At 37.8% G+C, this 23,196-nt stretch overlaps 1 protein-coding gene across 1 annotated transcript in view; it reads right to left on the bottom strand.

Annotated features, from left to right (window-relative positions):
- The window catches only part of PRKAR2B (protein kinase cAMP-dependent type II regulatory subunit beta), a 117,107-nt gene that overhangs the window by 10,002 nt on the left and 83,909 nt on the right, over positions 1-23,196 (bottom strand). The window contains exons 5-7 of the mRNA NM_002736.3: positions 10,857-10,963; positions 5,349-5,502; positions 787-888 (exon numbers count right to left, since the gene is read on the bottom strand). Coding sequence (NP_002727.2) covers positions 787-888; positions 5,349-5,502; positions 10,857-10,963 — 363 coding nt within the window. The remainder of the gene's footprint in view (positions 1-786; positions 889-5,348; positions 5,503-10,856; positions 10,964-23,196) is intronic.

Below are 23,196 nucleotides of genomic sequence, written 5' to 3'. Positions count from 1 at the left end.
CTTCTCCCAGGCTAGCGATATGCAGTACAACGCCAGGCAGAGAGCCACAACGCCCAGCCAGCCTCACCACAATGAGGTGAACAACCCATGCTCTCCAGTGCACTGTGCTGCCAGGTGACTGTTCCCAGCTGTAGGCTGATGTGAGTGTCCTAAGCATGTTTCAGGTAGGCTAGGCTGAGCTCGAATGTTCCATAGTTTAGGTGTATTAAATACATTTTCTATTTATGATATTTTCAACTCACAATGGGTTTATTCGTAAGGTAACCCCATAGTAAGTCAAGGGACATCTGTATTTAAGGCCATGGGATTCGACATGTTCACCAAGTGAATAAGTGTATCCTGAAAAGAGAAGAGGCCAAGGACAGAGGCCTGGAATGCCAGTTTTAAGAGGAGAAGAAAAGAGGAATAAACAGCAAAGATGACTGAGAGGAAGAGGCCAGAGAGGACATTCTATATCTAGAGAACGCCTCACTGTAAAGTTACAACTAGTGGCTCTTGTCTACATCTATGTGATTATATTAAGTCTGCTATCAGATAAAGACCACATATAAATTTGCTATAGATGCTGGGTAGGAATGTATTACTTTCAAATAACAAAACAAATGAAATTATAGATAGCAGAAGAAACAATGAGTTATAAAAATTAGCACTACCATTTAATCTTTTCAAATAAAAACATGGATAGATTTTTTTTTATTCAAAGAAATTTTTCTATAGAACTAAATATTCCTAGCAAAACAGAAACTTTTAAAGCAAAATAAAATAAAAGCATAAACATATACTTACCTCCAAAGATTTAAGGAATGGCAGTGACTCAATAAAGCTTTCATACATTTTTCTCTTTTTGGCATTGTTTTTCACAATTATTCTCCTGAAGGTTACCCTGTCCTACAGGCAGAACAGTTAAAGGGTAAATTTTATGGGGGTAAAGCTATACAAATAGTTTTATTTTATTCCCTACAAGAAACAATGATTGAAGATTCTGAAATAAAAGATTAACATCATTATACTTTTAATGCAACTCATTTCATATTTTTATTTCGTCAAGCACAAAATATAATACAGAACCACATAAAATACTGTTTTCTTTTTTTTTTTTTTTTTTTTTTTTAAAGAAAGCATCTGTTGACTTTTTATACATAACAGAAATCTGACCAATATGTTGGGTTCTGCCCACAAGGAGGCGCTGTCACAGCATTTTTAAATATGTATACTAGCACTCTGTTCTTTTACTCTGTTATGTACTCTACGTTCTTTTTCATATCCACATTATGTCAAAATTTTCTTGTCAAAAATGTGGAGGGATGCCCAAAGAAATTATAAATGCTTAAAGTGATGGCTACTCCATTTACCCTGATGTGATCATTATATATTGTATGCTGTTATCGAAATAGCTTATGTACCCTGTAAATATATACACATAATATGTACTCATAAAAAAAATTTTTATTTAATGTGAAGGCACAGAGAAACTACAACTATGTTTTTGAGTAAGATCTAATTCCAGTGTTTACCATGTTCACAGTCTAAAATGTTCCTGTTTATACTATCATGCCCTCAAAGATACAGAACTCGGTTGAAGAACTAGTAAAAATTTTAAGGATACAGCTCAAAACATTATTTTCCTAAAAATTTTATTTTAAATAATTTCTCATAAAATATTTTAATTCTTTAATAAAAGCCTCAATAATTATGTTAGATTGGCATTCATTAATAAACAATTATACCATTTTAATAAAGTAAAAATTGGGATATATTATTTAATAAATTACTATGCCAATATTTTAATTTTTTTTTACTTTTATTTTTAATTTTTGTGGGTACATAGTAGGTGTATATTTATGGGGTACATGAGATGTTCTGATACAGGCATGCAACATGAAATATGCACATCATAGAGAATGGGGTATCTGCCCCCTCAAGCATCTATCCTTTGAGTTACAAAAAATCCAATTACATTTATTTTAAAATATACAATTTTATTATTGACTATGGTCACCCTATTGTGCTACCAAATACTAGGTCTTATTCATTCTTTCTTATGCCAACATAATAAGGCTGAATTTAAATGAACTAGTGCAATGGAGAAAAATGCCAGTATAGATGAAAGTCTCTAGGTGTGATGGACTGCAACTGAATGTTTCTATCACTCTAAAATCCCTCTGTTGAAATCCTAATCACCCAGGATAGTATTAGGTGGTGGAGCCTTTGGAAGATGGTTAGGTCATGAGGCTGGAGCCCTCATGAATGGGATTAATGTCCTTATAAAAGAGATCCCAATGAGCTCCCTTGCCCCTTCCACCATGTGAGAACACAAGTAGAAGACGCTGTCTGTTAAACAGGAAAACAAGCCCTCACCAGACACCGAATCTTCTGGTGCCTTGATCTTGGACTTCTCAGCGTCCAGACCATGAGAAATAAATGTATGCTGCTTAAGCCACCCATTCTATAACAGTCTGTCATAGCACCCCAAAAGGACTAAGACACTAGGAAATTAAACATCTTGTTTCCCAATTTGGTATTGGCTGTAATTTGGACTTGTTTTACTCCTAATACTTTTTTTAAAAGAAAATTTTACAAGATAATTAGCACAAATATTGAAATTATTTCCAAGCCTGGCTCTGCATCAGAATAAGCTATAGTATTAAAAAAGATTTCTGAGACACCAGACCTTAATGACTCAAGATCTCTGCATGTAGGGCTCAATAATTCATAAATGCTCCCAAAGTGATTCTGATATGTAATCAGGTTTGGAAATCAGGTATAACACCATTGTATGGACAGCGGTTATTGCAAAACAGAGAAGACTCAAAATAGCTTAATGATTTAGAAACTAATCATAATCAGTTATATCTCTCAGAAAGAATTTTCCATTAGTAACCTACCTCTTCACACCCACTGTGACATATAAAGTCCAGAATTTCAAATACTTTCATCCTGAAGCCATTTCAAAAATCACCTTTCCAAATCATCAGTATAGTCACGTAGATCATGTTAGCCCTAAGGCTAATAGTGACCAAATATTATTTACAGAGTGAGACTATTCTGCAATGGACTTTTCTCTTGGGCTTTTTTTGCTTATCTTTACACACCTGTATTTATAAGGCAGACCTCCAGTCTGTTGACCTTAAAAGAAAAATTTATTTTCTACTCGACTCTCCCTGAGAAGGAGTTATTATAATTAGTCAAGTCACCCTTAAAAAGTAGGCTTGAAATACTAAGTAATTATGTTAATTATTCTAACTTTTTTAGAAAGCTATTATATGTCAGGAGGATTATCACAAACTGCCCATTTTTATAAAATTTAATAACATGTATAGACTACTAAAAAGCTCTGAAAATGCTTAATCCTATCTTAGGAACTTAAGTAGTACGTGCACTAGGAAATTCTGGGTCTTTTATACCCCATTAAAGTTTCTACAAGGGCTAAAAACTATCAGTATTCAAAGAGGCCAACCTATAAAACAGTTGATCTTATTCTGAAGATGTGCAAGGAGGCAGTTTCCTCACTGTGTGACAATCTGACAATCTGAATCTGAACGGCAACCCCATTGGAATGACTACATTTGAAAAGTAAACCTTCCTGAATAAAACAGGTCATGGCAGATGCTAGATTTATCCCACCACTTTAATTACAGGCAGACAAAGACTTCTGTGGGTGAAGGACTGTCCTGGTTTGAAGTTTTTTCTTTGCTGGCTTTGGGTATTCAAATCACTGACAGTTCTTTCCTTTTCCTGAGACAATTCAGCTTTTCCTCTAAACCTTAAAAAAGTGACTCATCACATTTTTAAATAAGTATATAATAACTGGTTCCAATTAAAAGAAATGTAAAATGTCTTGTCTCTTTGATCAAGAGATATTTTTTATCAGCTGAATTGACTTCAGAGTCAAATGCTGAACTGTGACTAAATAATGTGTGACTTCCACAATGCTATATACAGTAGTCCTTGGAAATGAGACTTTTAACAGACTTCATATTTACTTCAACCTCTTCTCTTTCCACAAAAGGATTTGAGAGAAATAACCCAATAAATGCATGTCAAAACTAGTGGGTGGGCTATTTTCAACAATTTTAAAAGAAAATACATATACTGTAAACATTTCCCTAAATCGATGCTGTTTAAGGTTTGGCCTGACATCAGGCAGTACTGCCATCTCCTGGGAGCTGATGAGAAATGCAAAAATCACGGGCCTCACCCCAGAACCACTGAATCAGAATCTGCATTTTAACTGGATTCCCAGGTGATTTGTAAGCATATTAAAGTTTGAGAATCACTACCTTAAATACAATCCTCCAGAAGGAGCTTTAGTAGTGCCTAATAATTTGCATCCTATCATATGTGAAAATATTGCCCGAATGTATCTTTAAACCAGCTTTTAAGTCTTGCGGGAATACCACATTAAGAAATGTATTTAAAAGTACTAATGCTCAGGTCCCAGTGCTGAAGATTCTGATCAATTTGCCCATGGTGAGGTCTAGGTAAGAGGATTTTTTTTGAGACAGAGTCTCGCTCTGTCGCCCAGGCTGGAGTGCAGTGGTGCAATCTCAGCTTCACTGCAAGCTCCGCCTCCCGGGTTCATGCCATTCTCCTGCCTCAGCCTCCTGAGTAGCTGGGACTACAGGCACCCACGACCGTGCCCGGCTAATTTTTTGTATTTTTAGTAGAGACGGGGTTTCACCGTGGTCTCGATCTCCTGACCTCGTGGCTAGGTAAGAGGATTTTAAAAAAATACTCCAGGTAATTCTGATGTGGGGCACATGAGCACAGCCACCAAGCATTTTTTCCCTACACAACTGCTTTTAAATGCAGAGTAGTTACCAATCAATTTATAGCACCAAGAGCATCCTTTTATACTGGTTTCTCAAACTCCGAATTTCTGATGCAGTAGGTCAGAATCAGTGGGTGGGGCCCCAGAATGGGCATTTCTAAAAAGTTCCCAAGTGATACAGCTGCCAGTGTTCAGGGGACCACACTCTGGGAGCCACAACTTTATCAGATTATAATACTTACCTCAGAAAGCTATCTGAGAAAAAGTACTTAAGGCTGTGTTTGTATGGCTGGTTATTTTCTAAGAGTGGGTAAGACAGGAGCATTCTGAATCTGAGTGTCTTTCCTGGGCCACCAGGTCCCAAGCTCCTGACTGGACTGGAGGAGTGGGGGCAATGACATCAGGATCTGACTTAGTGAAGTCTTAGTGCCCTACAGTTCAGCATTCAGTGGCTGCTTAATAAATTACCTGATGACTGATGATCTTTAAATTAAAATACTACATGCGGCAATTTGTAACACCGTCATAGCAATTGCTACAAATCATAACATTCAGGTCAAATAAGTATTTTACTCACCAAACCCCACAGAGCACCAGGAGAGGTAGCAGTGATTGTAGCTGCTCTGGGTGTATTGTACATTAAGGCCAGTTCGCCGAAACTCCCACGATTATCATAGTTACCAACACATCTTCCAACACCATCACATTTCACATAAATATCAAATGTGCCTCTGTTGGACATATGTAGATTGGAGGTTAATTCAAATAAAATATCATTAAAATAAAACATTATTTCAGAAAAGAGCCCTGTGAAATAAAAATCTTATTTCCAGCCTGTTATCCCCTCCGATGACAATAAAGGGGAATCAATCTGTGCCATCTGTTCCAGACCATGTGCCTGCTGGGAAAAATGGGACTAAACAATAAAAATTTGGAATAAGGAATGATAAAACTATAACTAAAGACTACAACCAAATAGTATATGCATAAAAAACCATCTGGAGAGGCCGGGTCTCACACCTGTAATCACAGCACTTTGGGAGGCTGAGGCGGGTGGATCACCTGAGGTTAGGAGTTTGAGACCAGCCTGGCCAACATGGTGAAACCCTGTCTCTATTAAAAATACAAAATATTAGCCGGGTGTGATGGCGGGATCCCATAATCTCAGCTACTCGGGAGGCTGAGGCAGGAGAATCACTTGAACCTGGGAGACGGAGGTTGCAGTGAGCCGAGATTGTGCCACTGCACTCCAGCCTGGGTGACAAGAGCAAAACTCCAACTCAAAAAAAAAAAAAAAAAAAAAAATCATCTGAAGAGGCTGGGTGTGGTGGCTTACTTACATCTGTAATTCCAGCAATTTGGAAGTCCAAGGTAAGAGGATCACTTGAGCCTAGGAGTTCAAGACCAGCCTGGGCAACATAGCAAGATCCCATCTCTATAAAAAATTAACCTTAAAAAAAGAAAGAAAATCATCTGAAGAAACATTTATCAAATCACTGACTGTAGTTATCTAAAAGCATAAGAATAGTGAGGGATTCTAGGCATATTCGCTATCTAATTTAAGAGTTTCTGTTTGTAACATGAACATATTATTACTTTTGTGATCAGAAGAAAATAACTTTTTAAAAAGAATCTAGCTATAGCAATTTGGTTAGCCACTACTCTACAAAACTTACTAGGGTCCTTTATAATCTATAGCAGACGTTGGCAAACTATAGCCCACAAACTGGCTATCTGCTTTTGTAAATAAAGTTTCACTGCAATATAAACACTCTTGTTTGTTTATGTGTTATCTATGGCTGGTTTTATGCTACAACTGCAGAGTTGAGTAGTTACAACAGAGAACATATTGGCCTGCAAAGCCAAAAATATTTACTCTCTGGCCCTTTACTTTAGATCAACCCCCATTCTAAAGTTAAAAAGTAGAAATTCAGACTAGATATCTAACTCTGGTCTTTTTATAGTTTTTTGGTGCTTATCTTTTAACTGGGGTTCTTTTTCTAGGCAAATAAGGTTCAGTTTGCATGTCACTGCACTTCCTATTACCCAGACCCTATATTCACGTAAACTGCATTCTTTGTGTGGATGACTGACTTTCCGCATACTGTATTTTATCAGAGAACATGCTTTCAAGGCTTGCACCTGTGAGGGCAGATAGAAAAAATTCTTTGGCTTTATTCTGTTGACTAAACCCTAACACAGACAAAGAGTGGGGACGTGCTGCTAAAAAAAAAAAAAAAAAAAAAAAAAAAGTGGCTTTTAACATTAGAAAATTATTATGGGCCAGGCCTGGTACCTCATGCCTGTAATTCCAATGTTTTGGGAGGCCAAGGTGGGAGGATTTGAATCCAGGAGTTCAAGACCAGCCTGGGCAACATAGCAAGACTCTGTCTCTACAAAAAACCAAAAAATTAGTCAAGTATGGTGGCACATGCCTGTACTCCTAGCTACTTGGAAGGCTGAGGCAAGAGGATCGCTTGGGCCCAGGAGTTCAAGGCTGCAGTGAGCTGTGACTGCACCACTGCACTCGAGCCTAGGCAAGAAAGTGAGACACTCTCCCTGCCCCTCCAAAAAAGAAAGAAAAGGATTATTAATAATAAAGAAGCAATAACAGCAGAAACATGATAGACAGAAGAAAATAATTGGCTTTCATGGCCAGGCACAGTGGTTCACGCCTGTAATCCCAGAACTTTAGGAGGCCAAGGTGGGCAGATCACAAGGTCAGGAGTTTGAGACCAGCCTGGCCAACATGGTGAAACCCCGTCTCTACTAAAAATACAAAAAAATTAGCCAGGCGTGGTGGCAGTCACCTGTAATCCCAGCTACTCGGGAGGTTGAGGAAGAAGAATCACCTGAACCCAGGAGGACAGTGGGTGCAGTGAGCTGAGATTGCGCCACTGCACTCCAGCCTGGGCAACAAGAGCAAGACTCCGCCTCAAAAATAAATAAATAAATAAATAAATAAATAAATAAATAAATAAATAAGAAAAGAATTGGTTTTCAATGTCATTCACGGATAGAATGACTGTTTCAAGGGAAACTACTAGAATTTGTCCCATGGATAATCATTTTTCAAGTACAGGGTTAGTTTCCCTCATCCAAAATTCTTGGGACCAGAAGTGTTATAGATTTTAGATATTTTCAGATTTTAGAATATTTGCATATATAGAATGAGGTATCTTGGGAATGAGACCCAAGTCTAAATACAAAATCAGTTTATGTTTCATATATACCTTATACACACAGCCTCAATATAATTTTATTTAATATTTTGAGTAATTTTGTACATGAAACCAAATTTGTGTACATTGAACCACCAGAAAGCAAAGGTGTCATTATCTCAACCACCCATGTGGACAATCTGTGGTTGTTCAGCATTACCATCATTCCTGACTCTGAATTTATATGCTACCAATAAGCCATCATTTTTTACTTGTATTCACACATAAGTACTTAACAGTAAAAAATAAGACATACCATTAACACAGTAAAAACTAATGTGTTTGGGGCAACTAAGCAGCATAGTAGCATCCCCAGAATACCTGCACCAGCTGCCAAACAAGAGCAACCACAAACAATGGCAGGCTTGCAGTCTCCACCTACAATGCTATATTCTGATTAAAGTTACTGTACCTCGTACACTAACCCCTTCGGGGATGCTGAATAAGCTGTTGTGTGCCTGCATTTTGACTGTAAACCATCACATGAGGTCAGGTGTGGAATTTCCACTTGTGCCATCATGTTGATGCTCAAAATGCTTTGGAGTTTGGAGAATTTCAGATTTTCAGACTAGCAATGCTGTACAGATTAAACTCTTCGATTTACACTATTTATACTTTTGCGCTGAAACTGTTCTCTACACTCGGCTACTTTGAATAGGGTAAAACAAAGCCAAATGTGCCGAGGAGAAGTAAAATGAGCTATCAGTCCAGTTGAAATCACATCAGTCTAAAATCTGTTAAAATACCGCAGGCTAGGCCAGGCACACTGACTTACACCTGTAAACCCACCACTTTGGGAAGCCAAGGCAGGCGGATTACCTGAAGGCAGGAGTTCGAGACCAGCCCGACCAACATGGTGATACCTTGTCTCTACTGAAAATACAAAAATTAGCTGGGTGTGGTGGCGGGTACCTGTAGTCCCAGCTACTCCGCAGGCTGAGGCAGGAGAATCGCTTGAAACTGGGAGGCAGAGGTTGCAGTGGGTCGAGATCGCACCACTGCACTCCAGCCTGGGCAACAGAGCAAGACTGTTTAAAAAAAAAAAACAAACAAAAAATCTTGGGCTGTTTTTTTCACACAGACTTCTTCTCTGATAATACAAGGCCTCCGGCAGGCAAGAACCTCCAGAAAGAACATGAACAGGGCAGGAGACCTGGCTGTGGAGTTGGCTCTACGCCAGTCATTTGGGTGATCTGAACCAAGTGCTGTCACTTCTGTGGGCCTGCATGTTCTCATCTACCAAATGGGTGACTAGGATCTAACTGAAAAGGGAATACACTATATACAAATGTAAGGCAGTTTTGAAAGTCAAAAATCCCCACTAAATGGTTAAGATCATAGAGGGTTAGGGCTTCTCATACACCTCTACAATTAAACACACTTAGGTGCATTTCTGAGGTGTTTCAGTGATGATAGCTATTAATGATATAAAAATCATTACTTTGATTCACATATAGATAACTGGTTTATTCTATTCTAAAATCCTGGCTAGTGCTTCAGCCACAGGTCACCAGGAATTTGGGATGAGGGAATGGGAGAATCAGTGACAACTCTTGATTTAAACAGCATGCTCGACTGACGCATGAAAGATACCACCCACAGAGCCAAAATAACGAAATGAGGCTTCAGGAGACCAAAGAGGTCATTTTCACCAAGACCTCTGAGGTGAACACAACCCAGCCCAGAGAGCAAACGTAACCCAGTAAGTCAGGCTGGGAGAGGACCTGCGTTCCACACACAAGGGGAGGGGTCAGGGATGCCAATTGTCTCATGAACACTTATCATTGTTTTACAAAAGTGAAGAAATAAGGACTCAGCTCAGGCTGCTCTGCTGTTAGATTTCAGGATTCATCTATTGCATAAGGCATATTGTTCTATGATGAGGTAAAGCACAACTTAAATTTCCTGAAAACAGATTTTCAACATAAATGCAAGACTTCTTTAAATAATTATAGAGTTTTTTTAAGACAAATATAATAATATACAATTCTTGGAAGGATGCACAAACTACTTACTTATGTGGACTGGATGATGTTAAAGCAGTAGGAAGAAAGACTTTTCACCTTATGCCCCTGTGAAATATTTGCATTTCCTATTTTTATTTATTTATTGTTATTATTATTTGAGACAGAGTTTCACTCTTGTTGCCCAGGTTGTAGTGCAAATGGTGCAGTATCGGCTCACTGCAACCTCCACCTGCCGGGTTCAAGCAATTCTCGTGTCTCAGCCTCCCAAGTAGCTGGGATTACAGGTGTGCACCACCACACCTGGCTAATTTTTTTTGTATTTAGTAGAGACGGGGTTTCACCATGTTGGTCAGGCTGGTCTTGAACTCCTGACCTCAAGTGATCCACTGGCCTCGGCTTCCCAAAGTGCTGAGATTGCAGGCCTGAGCCGCCACACTCCGCCAATTTTGAATTTTTTAAACCATGAGCATGTTTTACACAGTTTATAAAAAAAGAACCTTTTAAGAAATACCAATTGAGGTCTACTGTGAATTAATATCTCAGATGTTATATTATACTGCTGTTCTCACTGTAACAGGCATCTAGTACATACTAATACTACTACATAATATCTCTCAATTAGAATTCAGCAAATGAAGATGCTCATGTTAAATGACTGACATTTACAGATTAGACTAACCAAAAGTCATTAGTTCCTCTATAAACTATGTCTCTTTTCATGATCCACTGTGGTTTCACTGCATGTACTCACAACAGGTTTACAGTGCCTATTATGTAATAATAAGAGTAGCGGCAATAACAACTATCCTATATTAACCTGTCAGTTGCCGTAATAATGGTTGAGATTTTACACAAAAGGTTCTTTCAATTTCAATAGTAAGGTTGGGCAAAACTTACCTATCAATTACATAAAAGTTGTCACCATCGTCACCTTGATCAATTACATGCTCCCCATCTTTGACCAATTTTTCAAACATGGCATCTAATACTTGAGACATCTGCTCCTATTTTTAAAAAAGATGGGATATAATCTTTATGTTTATCTAGAACATGTTTTCTTAAGTAACCACAGTTATATTTCTGTGAACAAGTCCAAAGAAATGGAAATAATCATAACTACCACTAAATGTTGTCAGAAAAATACATAGTAGTCTTTCTTACCACATACAAATAAGATGATTATATACTCTCACATTCAGTATTTGAATGAAAGTAATTATAATTAGTCTATTTTAGAATATTTGCAACTATCACCACTTTAAAATGAAAATTTAACCACCAAACCACCATATACCTTGTGAAATATAATCTTAGCAACTAAAAAGGATCAGGTTAGTAAGGAATTATTTCAAATTTCTTTTAAAGATACCCATTTTTAAAAACTTCCTTATATTAGTCATCACTAAAATTTGTGTACAGATAACCTAAATACTTGGTGAATTTAGATCCTGATTCCAATCTTCTTTTTGGTTTAGCACCAAAATCAAAACAGAACAAAAAAGAAAAACAACAAAGTAAAACAAAAATGACTGTGGCAAATATTCTGTCACTATTCACTGTCATTAAGGTTGGCTTCAAGCTGCATCCACTGAGCTCACTAGGGCAGATTTGTCAGAAACATCAAAAATACTATTCAACAACTAATTAAACTATGTAAAATTTTTATTCTGTCAAAGTGTGATTGACAAGGCTCAAGGATAAACTTCAAACTGATGAGAATAAACTAGGAGGTGAAAGAAATCTTTAATCAGAACAAATACAGGAATAATTCAAAGAACTTTGAAAAGACAGAATAAATGGATATGAGGAAATAATACAATACAATGGAAAAGTCTAAAGATTTAGAGGGTTATTTGTTCTGCTACTTATTAGCTCTGAGCCCTTGGTCAGGTCACTCCTTATGGGCATACAGAAGGTATAATGCTAACTGCCCATGCCAAAATCAATTACTATTATACATAAACTAAAGAGTTGAAGATAGATTCAAAGGGGAAAAAAGATGCAAGTGGAAAACACAGGTTGAAGAAACAAGATATTCTGAATAAAGAGGATAACAGATCACATGTGATTCTCTCCCTTTTGAGACCGCATGAAAATGTTACAAGGCATATGAAGATATGAATCTACAATAGTATAGAGTACAGGAAGGGACAACTGATGGATGAGAGAGTTTCAGGGCGAAGGTAAGTAACAAGTGGCAGAGAGAGCTGCCCCAAGTCGCACAGGTGAGACTGCAGTGTGGAGGGGCCAACATGCCTTGCAGAGCACCAAGAGGGTCCAAAGTGGGTAACATCTGGTTCTGCCAGCATGGGACTGAGACACAAAGCTAAAGACAAGCGGACTGATTTAAAGTCCTGCAGAGATTAGTTGACACCTTCCTTCAAAATCCCTCTACCCTAATACAGAATGCCTAGCAGCCAAATGTGGACCCTCAACTCCTCCCAGACAAAAGATTCGAGAGAAACTAAACAAATTAGAACTAGAACAGATACTGTGAACACTGGTGCCCTAGAACAAAAACCTTCATTTGGTAGGACTTAGGGGTTCCCCAATGTAACAGCTGGCTCCCTGTCAGCTCAAGCTAAACAGTGCACTGGTTGACAGGCCTGCCCTACTTACTCAGAGCTCTAAATCAGCTTTATGTTGCTCCCCTGGTAGCCTACAAGACTAAGATAAACAGCAAAATGACAACACATGAGATAGATATTTCAGGAACTGTAGAGAGCTTTTGCAGAGACATTTAAGATGATATTATATCCATGAGACCAAAAAAAAATAGGATGTTAGGAAAAGAGCAAATCAGAGAAAAATGGGTGGCTTGGAAATTAAAAATATGATTGTCATTTTTTTTTCTTTAAAATAGATTTTTTTTGGCAGGGTTCAGTGGCTCATGGCTGTAATCCCAGCACTTTGGGAGGCCAAGGCAGGCAGATTGCTTCAGCCCAGGAGTGTGAGACCAGCCTGGGCAACATGGCAAAACCCCGTCTCTACCAAAAAAAATAAGCTGGGCATGGTGGTGCACACTTGTCGTCTCAGCTACTCAGGAGGCCGAGGTCGGAGGACTGCTTGAGCCTGGGAGGTTGAGGCTTCAGTGAGCCATGATCGCACCACTGCGCTCCAGCCTGGGCAACAGAGTGAGACTCTGTCTCAAAAAAAATGAGTAGTCTCAGCTACTCAGGAGAGGCTGAGATTGGAGGATTGCTTGAGCCTGGGAGGTTGAGGCTGCAGTGAGCCATGATCACACCACTGCACTCCAGCCTGGCAACAGAGTGAGACTCTGTCTCAAAAAAATGAGTAGTCTCAGCTACTCAGGAGAGGCCAAGATTGGAGGATTGCTTGAGCCTGGGAGGTTGAGGCTGCAGTGAGCCATGACTGTTACACTGCACTCCAGCCTGGGCAACAGAATGAGACTCTGTCTCAAAAATAAAAAATAAAATAGAATTTTTTAGAGCAGTTTTAAGCTCATAGGAACATTAATCAGAAAGTATAGACATACTCCACATATCCTCTACCCCAACACATGACACAGACTCCCCCAAGATAAACATCCTCCACTGGAGTGGCATATTTGTTACAACTGCTGAATCTATACTGACATTATTATCATTCAAAGTCCATAGTTTATATTAGGGTTTGCTATTGGTGTTGTACATTCTATGGGTTTGACAAATGTGTAAAGACATGTATCCACCATTACAATTTTTTTAAAGGTAAATAAAAGAGTTAAAAAAATTAAAACCAAACACCTCAAAAAAAGTCAATAAAGAGATGAAAAGAAAGGAGTGCCAGAGACAGTAAAAGAGAAAACAAAAAGGAGGAAATATAAACAATACAGGATGAATTTTCTAGACCCAAAGAAAATTTTGGTCTGAAAACACAGGTTTTCAGACCAAAAGGGCACACTCAAGTGCCCAGCACAGTCAATGACCATAAATCCCCACACTAGGATGAAATAATGTATTTTTAGAACACTAAAGATAAAAGATCTGCAAAGCTTCCAGAAAAGAGAAAGGAGGATTCTTAAAAACATGAAAAGTTACTCAACTTCTCTGAAAATGAAGAGAAATCCAAATTAAAATCGAAATGAGATGCCACTTTTCACTCGCCAGATTCAAAAAGATACAAATGTTAGAATATCACACTGTGTTGGAGACCGTGTGGGAAAAGAGGCATTCTCACACAGACTTCCGGTGAGAAGGTAAAATGGAACAAACTCTAAAAAAGCCATTTGTCAAAATTTAATAAAATTTTAGATATGCATGATCTTCCACCTCACTGTTCCTTTTCTAGGAAGTTACTATATAGATATTTATAAAATGCATCACCATTTTTCTTTGCATCACAATAGCAGAAGACTGGAAACAAACTAACAGTTTATCAACAGGGCACTGGATAAATAAGCTGTCATATATCCATTCACCAAAAAGCTCTGCTGTTGTAGGCATGTAGGGATTTTCAGACATCTGTCTTTCAAAGGAGTCACTGGCAGCGAGAGAACACTCAAAGAAGGGTAATCAAGAAATGTGAAAACCTGCAATGAGGGAATTTCAGGAAACAAGGCGTTTAGGTGACAGAAAAGACCTATATGAGAATACACCAGTTATCTTCTGTTCAAACCATGACATCAGTAGTTCTAGAGGCCATAACTGGGACTGTTGGGTGGAAGTTTCATGGAGGTTTTGGCAGAATATAAAGACCTGCCTAGGAATGAGAGCTGTCTAGCGGTGACAAGGGCTGCCTTGCAAATAATTTTGCCTTTTCCAGAACGTTAAATAGTTGGAATCATGCAGCACATAGCCTTTCCACATTGGCTTCTTTCACTTAGTATTATGCATTTAAGGTTCTTCCATGTCTTCCATGTCTTTTCATAACTAGATCACTCATTTTGTCCACTGTCTAGATGTACCAGTTTATTTATCCATTCACATACTGAACAACATCTTGGTTGCTTCCAAGTTTTGGCAATTTTGAATAAAGCTGCTACAAATACCTGTGTACAGGTTTCTGTGTGGACCTAAGTTTTCAACTCCTTTGGGTAAATACCAAGGAGCATGACTACTGGAGAGGATGGTAAGAGTATGTTTAGTTGTAAAAGACACCACTAAACAATCTTCTAAAGTGGCTGTACCATTTTGCATTTTGCATTCTCATCAGCAATGAGTTGTTGAACCACCTATGTTCACCAGCATTTGGTGTTGTCAGTGTTTCAAATTTTGGCCATTCTAATAGATGTGTAGTACTATCTCATTGCTGTTTTAAGTTGCATTTCCCTGATGACATGTGATGTGGAGCATCTTTTCATATGCTTGTGTGCCATTTGTATATCTTCTTCAGTGAGGTGTCTGTTAACATCTTTGGTCCAATTTTTTAATCTGATGGTTTACTACTGTTGAGTTCTTTGTATATTTTGGATAACAGTCCTTTATCAGCTGTGTCTTTTGCAAATATTTCCTCCCAGTCTGAGCCTGTCTTTTCATTCTGCTCACAGTGTCTTTTGCAGCAAAGAAATTTTTAATTTTAATGAAGTCCAGCTTATCAATTCTTTCATGGATGTGCCTTTGGTGTTACATCTAAAAAGTTATCACCAAATCCAAGGTCATCTAGATTTTCTCCCATGTTATCGCCTAGGAATTTTACAGTTTTGTGTTTTACATTTATATCTGTGATCTATTTTGAGTTAATTTTTGTGAAAAATAAAATGTCCATTTCTAGATTCATTTTTCAGATATCTAGTTTTTCCAGCACCATTTGTTGAAAAGACCATCTTTACTTCATTGTGTTACCTTTTCTCTTCTGTCAAAGATCAGTTAACTGCATTTAAGTGGGGCTGTTACCGGGTTCTCTGTTCTGTTCCACTGATTAATTTGTACATTCTTTTGCCAATACTATACTGTCTTGATTATTGTCACTTTATACTAAGTCTTGAAGTCAGTTAGTATTAGTACTTTAACTTTGTTCTTTTCCTTCAATATTGTGTTAGCTCTCCTAGGTCTTTTGCCTCTCCAAACTTTAGGATCCGTTTGTTGGGACTGCATTGAATCTACAGATCAACTTGGGAAAAACTGACATCTTGACAATAGTGGGTCTTCCTATCCATGAACATGGAAATCTCTTCATTTATTAAATTCTTCCCTGATTTCCTTCATAATTTGATAGTTTTCCTCACATTGATCTTATACATATTTTTGTTAGATTTACATCTAAATATTTCATTTTGGGGGGATGTTAATATAAATGGTATTGTATTTTTAATTTCAAATTCCACTTGTTCACTGCTGATATAAAGGAAAGTGATTAACTTTTGTATATTAACCTTGTATCCTGCAACCTTGTTATAATCACTTACTAGCTCTGGAAGCCTTTCCCATTTTCTACTTAGATAATCATGTCATCTGTGAACAAAGACAGGTATATTTCTTCCTTCTCAATACATTTTACTACACTTTCTTGTCTTATTGCATTAGCCAGGACTTTCAGCACTATGTTGAAAAGGAGTGGTGAGAGGGAACTACAAATTTGTTGAGGTGAAATTCACATAACATAAAATTAATCACTTTATTTTCCTTTTTTAAAATTGTAACTACCCCGGTGGGGATGAAGTGGTATTTCATTGTAGTTTTGATTTGTATTTCTCTAACGACTAACCACGTTGAAAATTTTTTGATTGCCAGTCATTTGTATATTCAAGCACTTTGCCCATTTCTAAATTGGAATTTTTGTCTTTTTATTGTTGAGTTGTGTTATTTATATATTTTGGATACTAGATCTTTATCAGATATATGATTGGCAAATAATTTTATCTTCTGCAGACTGTCTTCACTTTTTAAAATAATGTCCTTTGATGTACAAAAATGTTACATCTGTGTGAAGTCCTATTTATCTTTTTTCTTTTCTGCTTATGCTTTTGGTGTCTAAGAGTCCAATGCTAAATCTAAGACCATAAAGACTTACTCCTATGTTTTCTTCCAAGAGTTTTATGGTTTAAGCTCTTATATCTTTGGCTTTTGATCCCTTCTGAATTAATTCTTGTATATGCAAAGGAGTCTAGCTTTGTTGTTTTGTGTGTGGATATCCAGGGATTCAGCACTATTTGTTGAAGAAACTATTCTTTTTCTATTGAATGGTCTTAACACTCTTGTGGGAAAATCAATTGGCCATAAGTATATAGGTTTATTTTTAGATTCTCAATTCTATTCAATTGTTCTATATGTCTACCCGAGCCCAGTATATGGTTTTGATTACCATAGCTTTTCAGTAAGTTGTAAAATTAGGAAATGTGAATCCTGCAACTTTGTTCTTCTTTTTAAATATTGTTTTGATTACTTGGAATCTGCTGTTATATGTACAATTATAACATAGTGGCAACAGCAAAACATTAATGTGTTATCATGATTTAGCTTTATAATACATAAAAGCTAATAGTTTAAACTTGTATAAACAATGCTGATGAAAATATTTTTTAAAAAGAATATGGAACCTCTATAAATACTAATATATTGTTAAATTTGAAAAGAACAAGGCAGGCCAGGCACGGTAGCTCACACCTATAATCCCAGCACTTTGGGAGGCTGAGGCAGGCAGATCACTTGAGGCCAAGAATTCCAGACCAGCCTGGCCAACATAGTCAAACTCCATGTCTACTAAAAATACAAAAATTAGCTGGCCATGGTGGTGCACACCTGTAGTCCCAGCTACTCAGAAGGCTGAGGTACAAGAATCACTTGAACCCAGGAGGCGGAGGTTGCAGTGAGCCATGATCGTGCCACTACACTCCAACCTGGGCAACAGAGCGAGACTCTCAAAAAACAACAACAACAACAAAAAAAAACAGGGCATAACAGTATGTCTATTCTGCTGCCACCAAAATTTGAAAAAGAATATATTTGTATGTGCATTGCATGACCCTGCAAAAATATACAAGATAGTACTAAAAGAACATAGTTCCTGAGAAACTGGGTTTCTGAGAGGCAAAGGTGAAAAGGAGATTTCCTTTCACTGACTACTCTTTTGTTCTTTTTGAATGTTTGTCAATTTTACATGTATACTGATTTATATTTTTTAATTAACTAAAAAAACTCTAATTAAACTGAGAACATAATTTTACATCTTCATATAGGCTAAGAAAAACTTTTGGAAGAATGATGGTGATGGGTTTGCAGGAAGCAGTTTTCGTCCCCTCCTTGGGTCCCTGTGTGAGCTCTGGCATCTTTTTGTGGAACAGCAGCCAAGGTTGAAGATGAAGCCAAGGTAGCAGTGAAACAGCCCTTTCGTGATGTAGTGCTAATTGGCCCCACAGGGACCATTCTACCCAAATGAGTTCATCAACTCAGGCAACATATGGTCACCAATCAAAATTCTAAAGGTTGATTAAATGATTTACTAATATATTGTTTTGCTTGCTATTTATATATTGACTTTTTTAAGGCAGGTAGAGGGTGAACATCAGCTTTATTGATTAGTTCTGACTCTAAATGTCAAATGGGGAAAAAAGATGAAATAAATTGCTATAGTAACTATTTTGTGATGTTGGAATTAGCTGCATTTGAAAACATTATAAAACTGAAGAATTCATACACGGATATATGAAAAGGCAATTCCTGATAAAATACAGACAGGTGTCTGTTCTAGTCAATCAAAATGTAATTTCCCCATAATTATGCACAGAGTGAAAAGAACTTAGGAAATATTTAATATGCAGAGGCTTATCATGATAACTGACAACTACTGTAGGAAATCCACATCTAATTCTCCTACAGAATGCCAATTCAAGACTGAGCTCAGTAAAGGGCTCTGACTCACTTAAGAAATAACAATTTACTCTTCATTAATGAAAGAGCCTATCATATAGCCTAAGAAAATTATTTCAGTTAGCCTCAAATTAGAAATATTTCAGGAGGAAAATGGCCTACTGAGTGGAGCATTAAAATATTCATGAAAAGAATATCTTCAAAGAGATTAATAATTATAAATGCTGTGCTCAACATATGAATATACAGCTCTCTAAGGAAAAATTTTCTGAAGTCTAGGAAGTGTAAGATTTTCAAGCTAAATAATGACTTCGGGAAATTCAAATGAAATAGTAGACACAAAGCCAAGATCATTCTTCTTGCTAATTACTAATTAGTTTCCCCTTCCTCCTTCAAGTTTTCCCATTTCAGGAAAAGGTGGCAACTTCGCAGTCACTCCAGCTAGACACTGGGAGCCATCCTAGATTCTTTCCTTCAGTCCCCAACTAAATCAATCACCAAGTACCAAGTTCTGTTAACCCTTTTTTGTGAAACCATTCTTTTCTGTCTGTCCCTTTCCCCCTTCCCTGGAGTTCAGGCCCATTTCTCTTCCCTAGATCATGACCTCGTTTTCTTACTGGGCTTCACTCTTTTGTTCTTGTCTGCTTCCCCTGTTTTTCTCCCCTCTTTAACTCCATCTTCGACATTACCACCAAAGTGACCTTAGATAAATCTGATAGTTACATTCTCTGACTAAAACTCTTCAGCTGTGCCCACTGCCTACAAGGCAGTCCAGTGCCACAGCATAGCATTCGAGAAAGAATGGGCCTTCCTGATAAAGCATCCACATCTTAGCTCCATCACTCCCATCACTAGATGGAGGCCATCCATCACTGGATGGTTGCCACTTTAGGCTCTAGTGATAACATTCTGTACTTTTCCTCACCTGGTGATTCCCTCCTCATTTTCAGAGGGCACAGCTCAGTGACCTTTCCAGCTTTCTGAACTGTTAGGGTAAGCTAAGAGACAGACATCTTCTCACCATGCCCTGACCATATTACAGCAATATATCATGTTTTCCCAACATGCTTTGCAGATGTGTTTGTACTCTCATTAAACTATAAATTCCAAAAGGACAACAACCATCTCTAAATATCTTTGTGGCCTCCAACACTTTAAACAGGTCTTGAAACATAGTAGTCAAGAAATTAAAATGAAAGGAGCTGCATGATAAGCAGATTATATAAGCTGAATATGTAATTCAATTAAAACACATTTGGGTTATTGTAAATAATGTGTATCATAAAAAACTAGAAAGCTACTTTACAATATGAGCTTAAACTAAAACCTCTAATCTGCCATGTTTTGGGCTAAATGTCTTATTCCAGGTGGTAATTTGCTGAGAAAAATAAATTTTACTTACTTATATCCTATATCATCTCTGGAAGGATTTAAATAGTAAGGGAGTCATTCAAGGTGGTCTGAGCTCAAATTCAAAAAAAAGGTCTTCTGAAAACTACTATGTATATACATTTGCTTCTTCTCTATAAAACATTCGATCATGACAATTCAGAAACTGGATGTTTTTTCCCTCTATGTGTTGGTTTTTAAAATACATATTGACCTTCAGCAAAGCAGTGAAAAAAAGTCTAAAAGAACTCTTATGTTTACAAAATAATCACACTAAGCAAAGATGCTCCTTGCCAGACTGTATTAGCAAAAGCTTTCTTAAATATTAATAATTTAAAATGCAACCAAAATTTTCACAATGCTTTTAAAGAGCTAAAGTTGAAATGGCAAGGAAGATCAATTAATTTAGAAGACAGAACAGAAGAGACAACATCCCAGGAAAGCATAATTAGCAACGATTTATGCCTGTGTGTCACTTAACCCTACAGACACCAGAATTTCACGACTTAGTCCCCGCTGAAGCATTAAAATACTGGTTCATTGAATAGGAAAGCATGCAAACATAACACATGTAACAGTAACCAAATACTGAACTTGAACATTTTCACATCTAGCTCTAGTCTTTGGTATTCAAAGTATGTTGTGGGCCAAGAACATCAACATTACCTGGGAGCTTGTGAGAAATGCAGACTTTTCAGGCTCCACTCCAGACCATGAGAATCCAAATCTGCATTTTAACAAGATCCCCTGATGATACATCAGCATATTAAAGCTTGAGAGCACTGTTTTTGGTGACCTCTGAAATTCTCCCATGTAAAGTTCTAGTCAAAAAATACAGACTTCTTGAATAAAGCCTACCTCTAAGTGTAAAAGTAAGGATTAATTTTACCACTGCCTTCTGTGTGCCTCCGGAGCAAAAGAGTTAAATACTACATTGGTCCTTGCCTTAGAGAACATGGGATCCATAGGCTAGCTTTGATATCAACTCAGGGTACTGAACCAGGTCTTTGCTTCCTCAGCACTAACTCCCACTGCTGGTAAGTGATGGTACTCGGCAAACGTGGATTGAATGAACTGAGCAAACAAACTTGAATGGACAAGGATCTATCAGGGCCACTCTGAACTACTGAATTCATACCATGAGACTGTAACTATGTTCAAGGGTTTGGCATAACTTTTTTTTATTTTTTATTTTATTTTTATTTTTTTTGAGACAGAGTCTCGCTCTGTTGCCCAGGCTGGAGTGCAGTGGTGTGATCTCAGGTCACTGCAAACTCCTCCACCTCCTGGGTTCATGCCATTCTCCTGCCTCAGCCTCCCTAGTAGCTGGGACTACAGGCGCCCGCCACCACGCCCGGCTAACTTTTTTGTATTTTTTTAGTAGAGACAGTGTTTCACCATGTTAGCCAGGATGGGCTCGATCTCCTAACCTCGTGATCCACCCACCTCGGCCTCCCAAAGTGCTGGGATTACAGGCATGAGCCACCACGCCCGGCCCGGCATAACTTTTAACAAGACTTGAATTAGATATTACTTAAACACCATCATTTTATTACAAATCTATCCAAAACTATTATTTAGGATTAAATATGTATACTTAGATAACTATAAAAGTGTCCGAGGTGCATGAACCAGAGCAACTCCATCTTGAATAGGAGCTGGGTAAAATAAGGCTGAAACCTACTGGGCTGCATTCCCAGATGGTTAAGGCATTCTAAGTCACAGGATGAGACTGAAGGTCAGCACAAGATACAGGTCATAAAGATCTTGCTGATAAAACAGGTTGCAGTCAAGAAGCCAGCCAAAACCCACCAAAGTCGAGATGGTGACGAGAGTGACCTCTGGTCATCCTCACTGCCACACTCCCACCAGAACCATGACAGTTTACAAATGCCATGGCAATGTCAGGAAGTTACCCTATATGATCTAAAAAGGGGAGGCATGAATAATCCACCCCTTGTTTAGCATATCATCAAGAAATAACCATAAAAATGGGCAACCAGCAGCTCTCGGGGCTGCTCTGTCTATGGAGTAGCCATTGTTTTATTCCTTCACTTTCTTAATAAACTTGTTTTCACTTTACAGACTCACCCTGAATTCATTTTTGTGCGAGATCCAAGAACCCTCTCTTGGGGTCTGGATGAGGACCTCTTTCCTGTAACAAAAGGATAACTTAAAGCATTCTTGTCTCAGTCCCATGTTTTCTTTTGAGAGCCTAGTGCGCGTACAGGGCCGTGAGCCATCTGCTACTTACAGAGTGATGCAAAGATACAAAAGACACAGTTCCTGCCCTCAGACAATGGACAGATGAAGTGACTGATGGATCCTGGGTCTGGTCAAATTTAGGCCTATCAAAGCCAGTAATGGAGACTCAGAGATGGACATACAAACTCGTAATGTGTGGGCCTAACATAAATCTCCAAAGTCACACAATGTACTGTGTTCTGGAAGACGTAATATAAACATAAATTACACTAGAAACAAAAGAGATTTTTAAAATATTTCAGACTGTAAATATGACGCAGTATATAACTGGTATGATGCAGTACATGAATCTTTATAAAAACGTCCTTTTTAAGAAGACCTCATTTTAAAAAGAGCAGGTATTGATTTAATGCTTCTCCTCTAGGGCATCACCAAAAACTTGAAGATGTTGAGTTTGACCAAATAAAAAAGTCGAGGTAAGTTACAAAAGTTGACTCTATTTTCACATTTGGAATATGGCAGCAGAGGTTCACTCCTAAATAACTATACAGCAATGACTAAGCATAATCTGAGATGAAGGAAGCAGAATATGTACATCACAGTGCAAGACAAAGTCTGAACAGCACGTGCACTCATACCAAGAGTGGGTATTCTAGAAATACCGAACCCAAAAATTAGAGATTTCCAAATCCTTATAAAGGACCAAAAAAAAAAAAAAAAAACCTCACCTTAAAGCCAAGTGAAATATTACTTTTAATCTGTATAATACACAGATAATGAGTTTATACACATTCAAATATAATTACTACCACTGGCTGTAAAGAGAAACAATCCTCCATGGGCCCTGAGCATCCCTGCATATTCCTGATGGGTACGAAGAGGGCAAGTTCCTACCA

Source organism: Homo sapiens, chromosome 7 (assembly GCF_000001405.40).
Source record: "Homo sapiens chromosome 7, GRCh38.p14 Primary Assembly".
Taxonomy (NCBI): Eukaryota; Metazoa; Chordata; class Mammalia; order Primates; family Hominidae; genus Homo; species Homo sapiens.
Note: the sequence above shows the minus strand (reverse complement) of the source record. Positions and strands in the feature narration are given on the sequence as shown.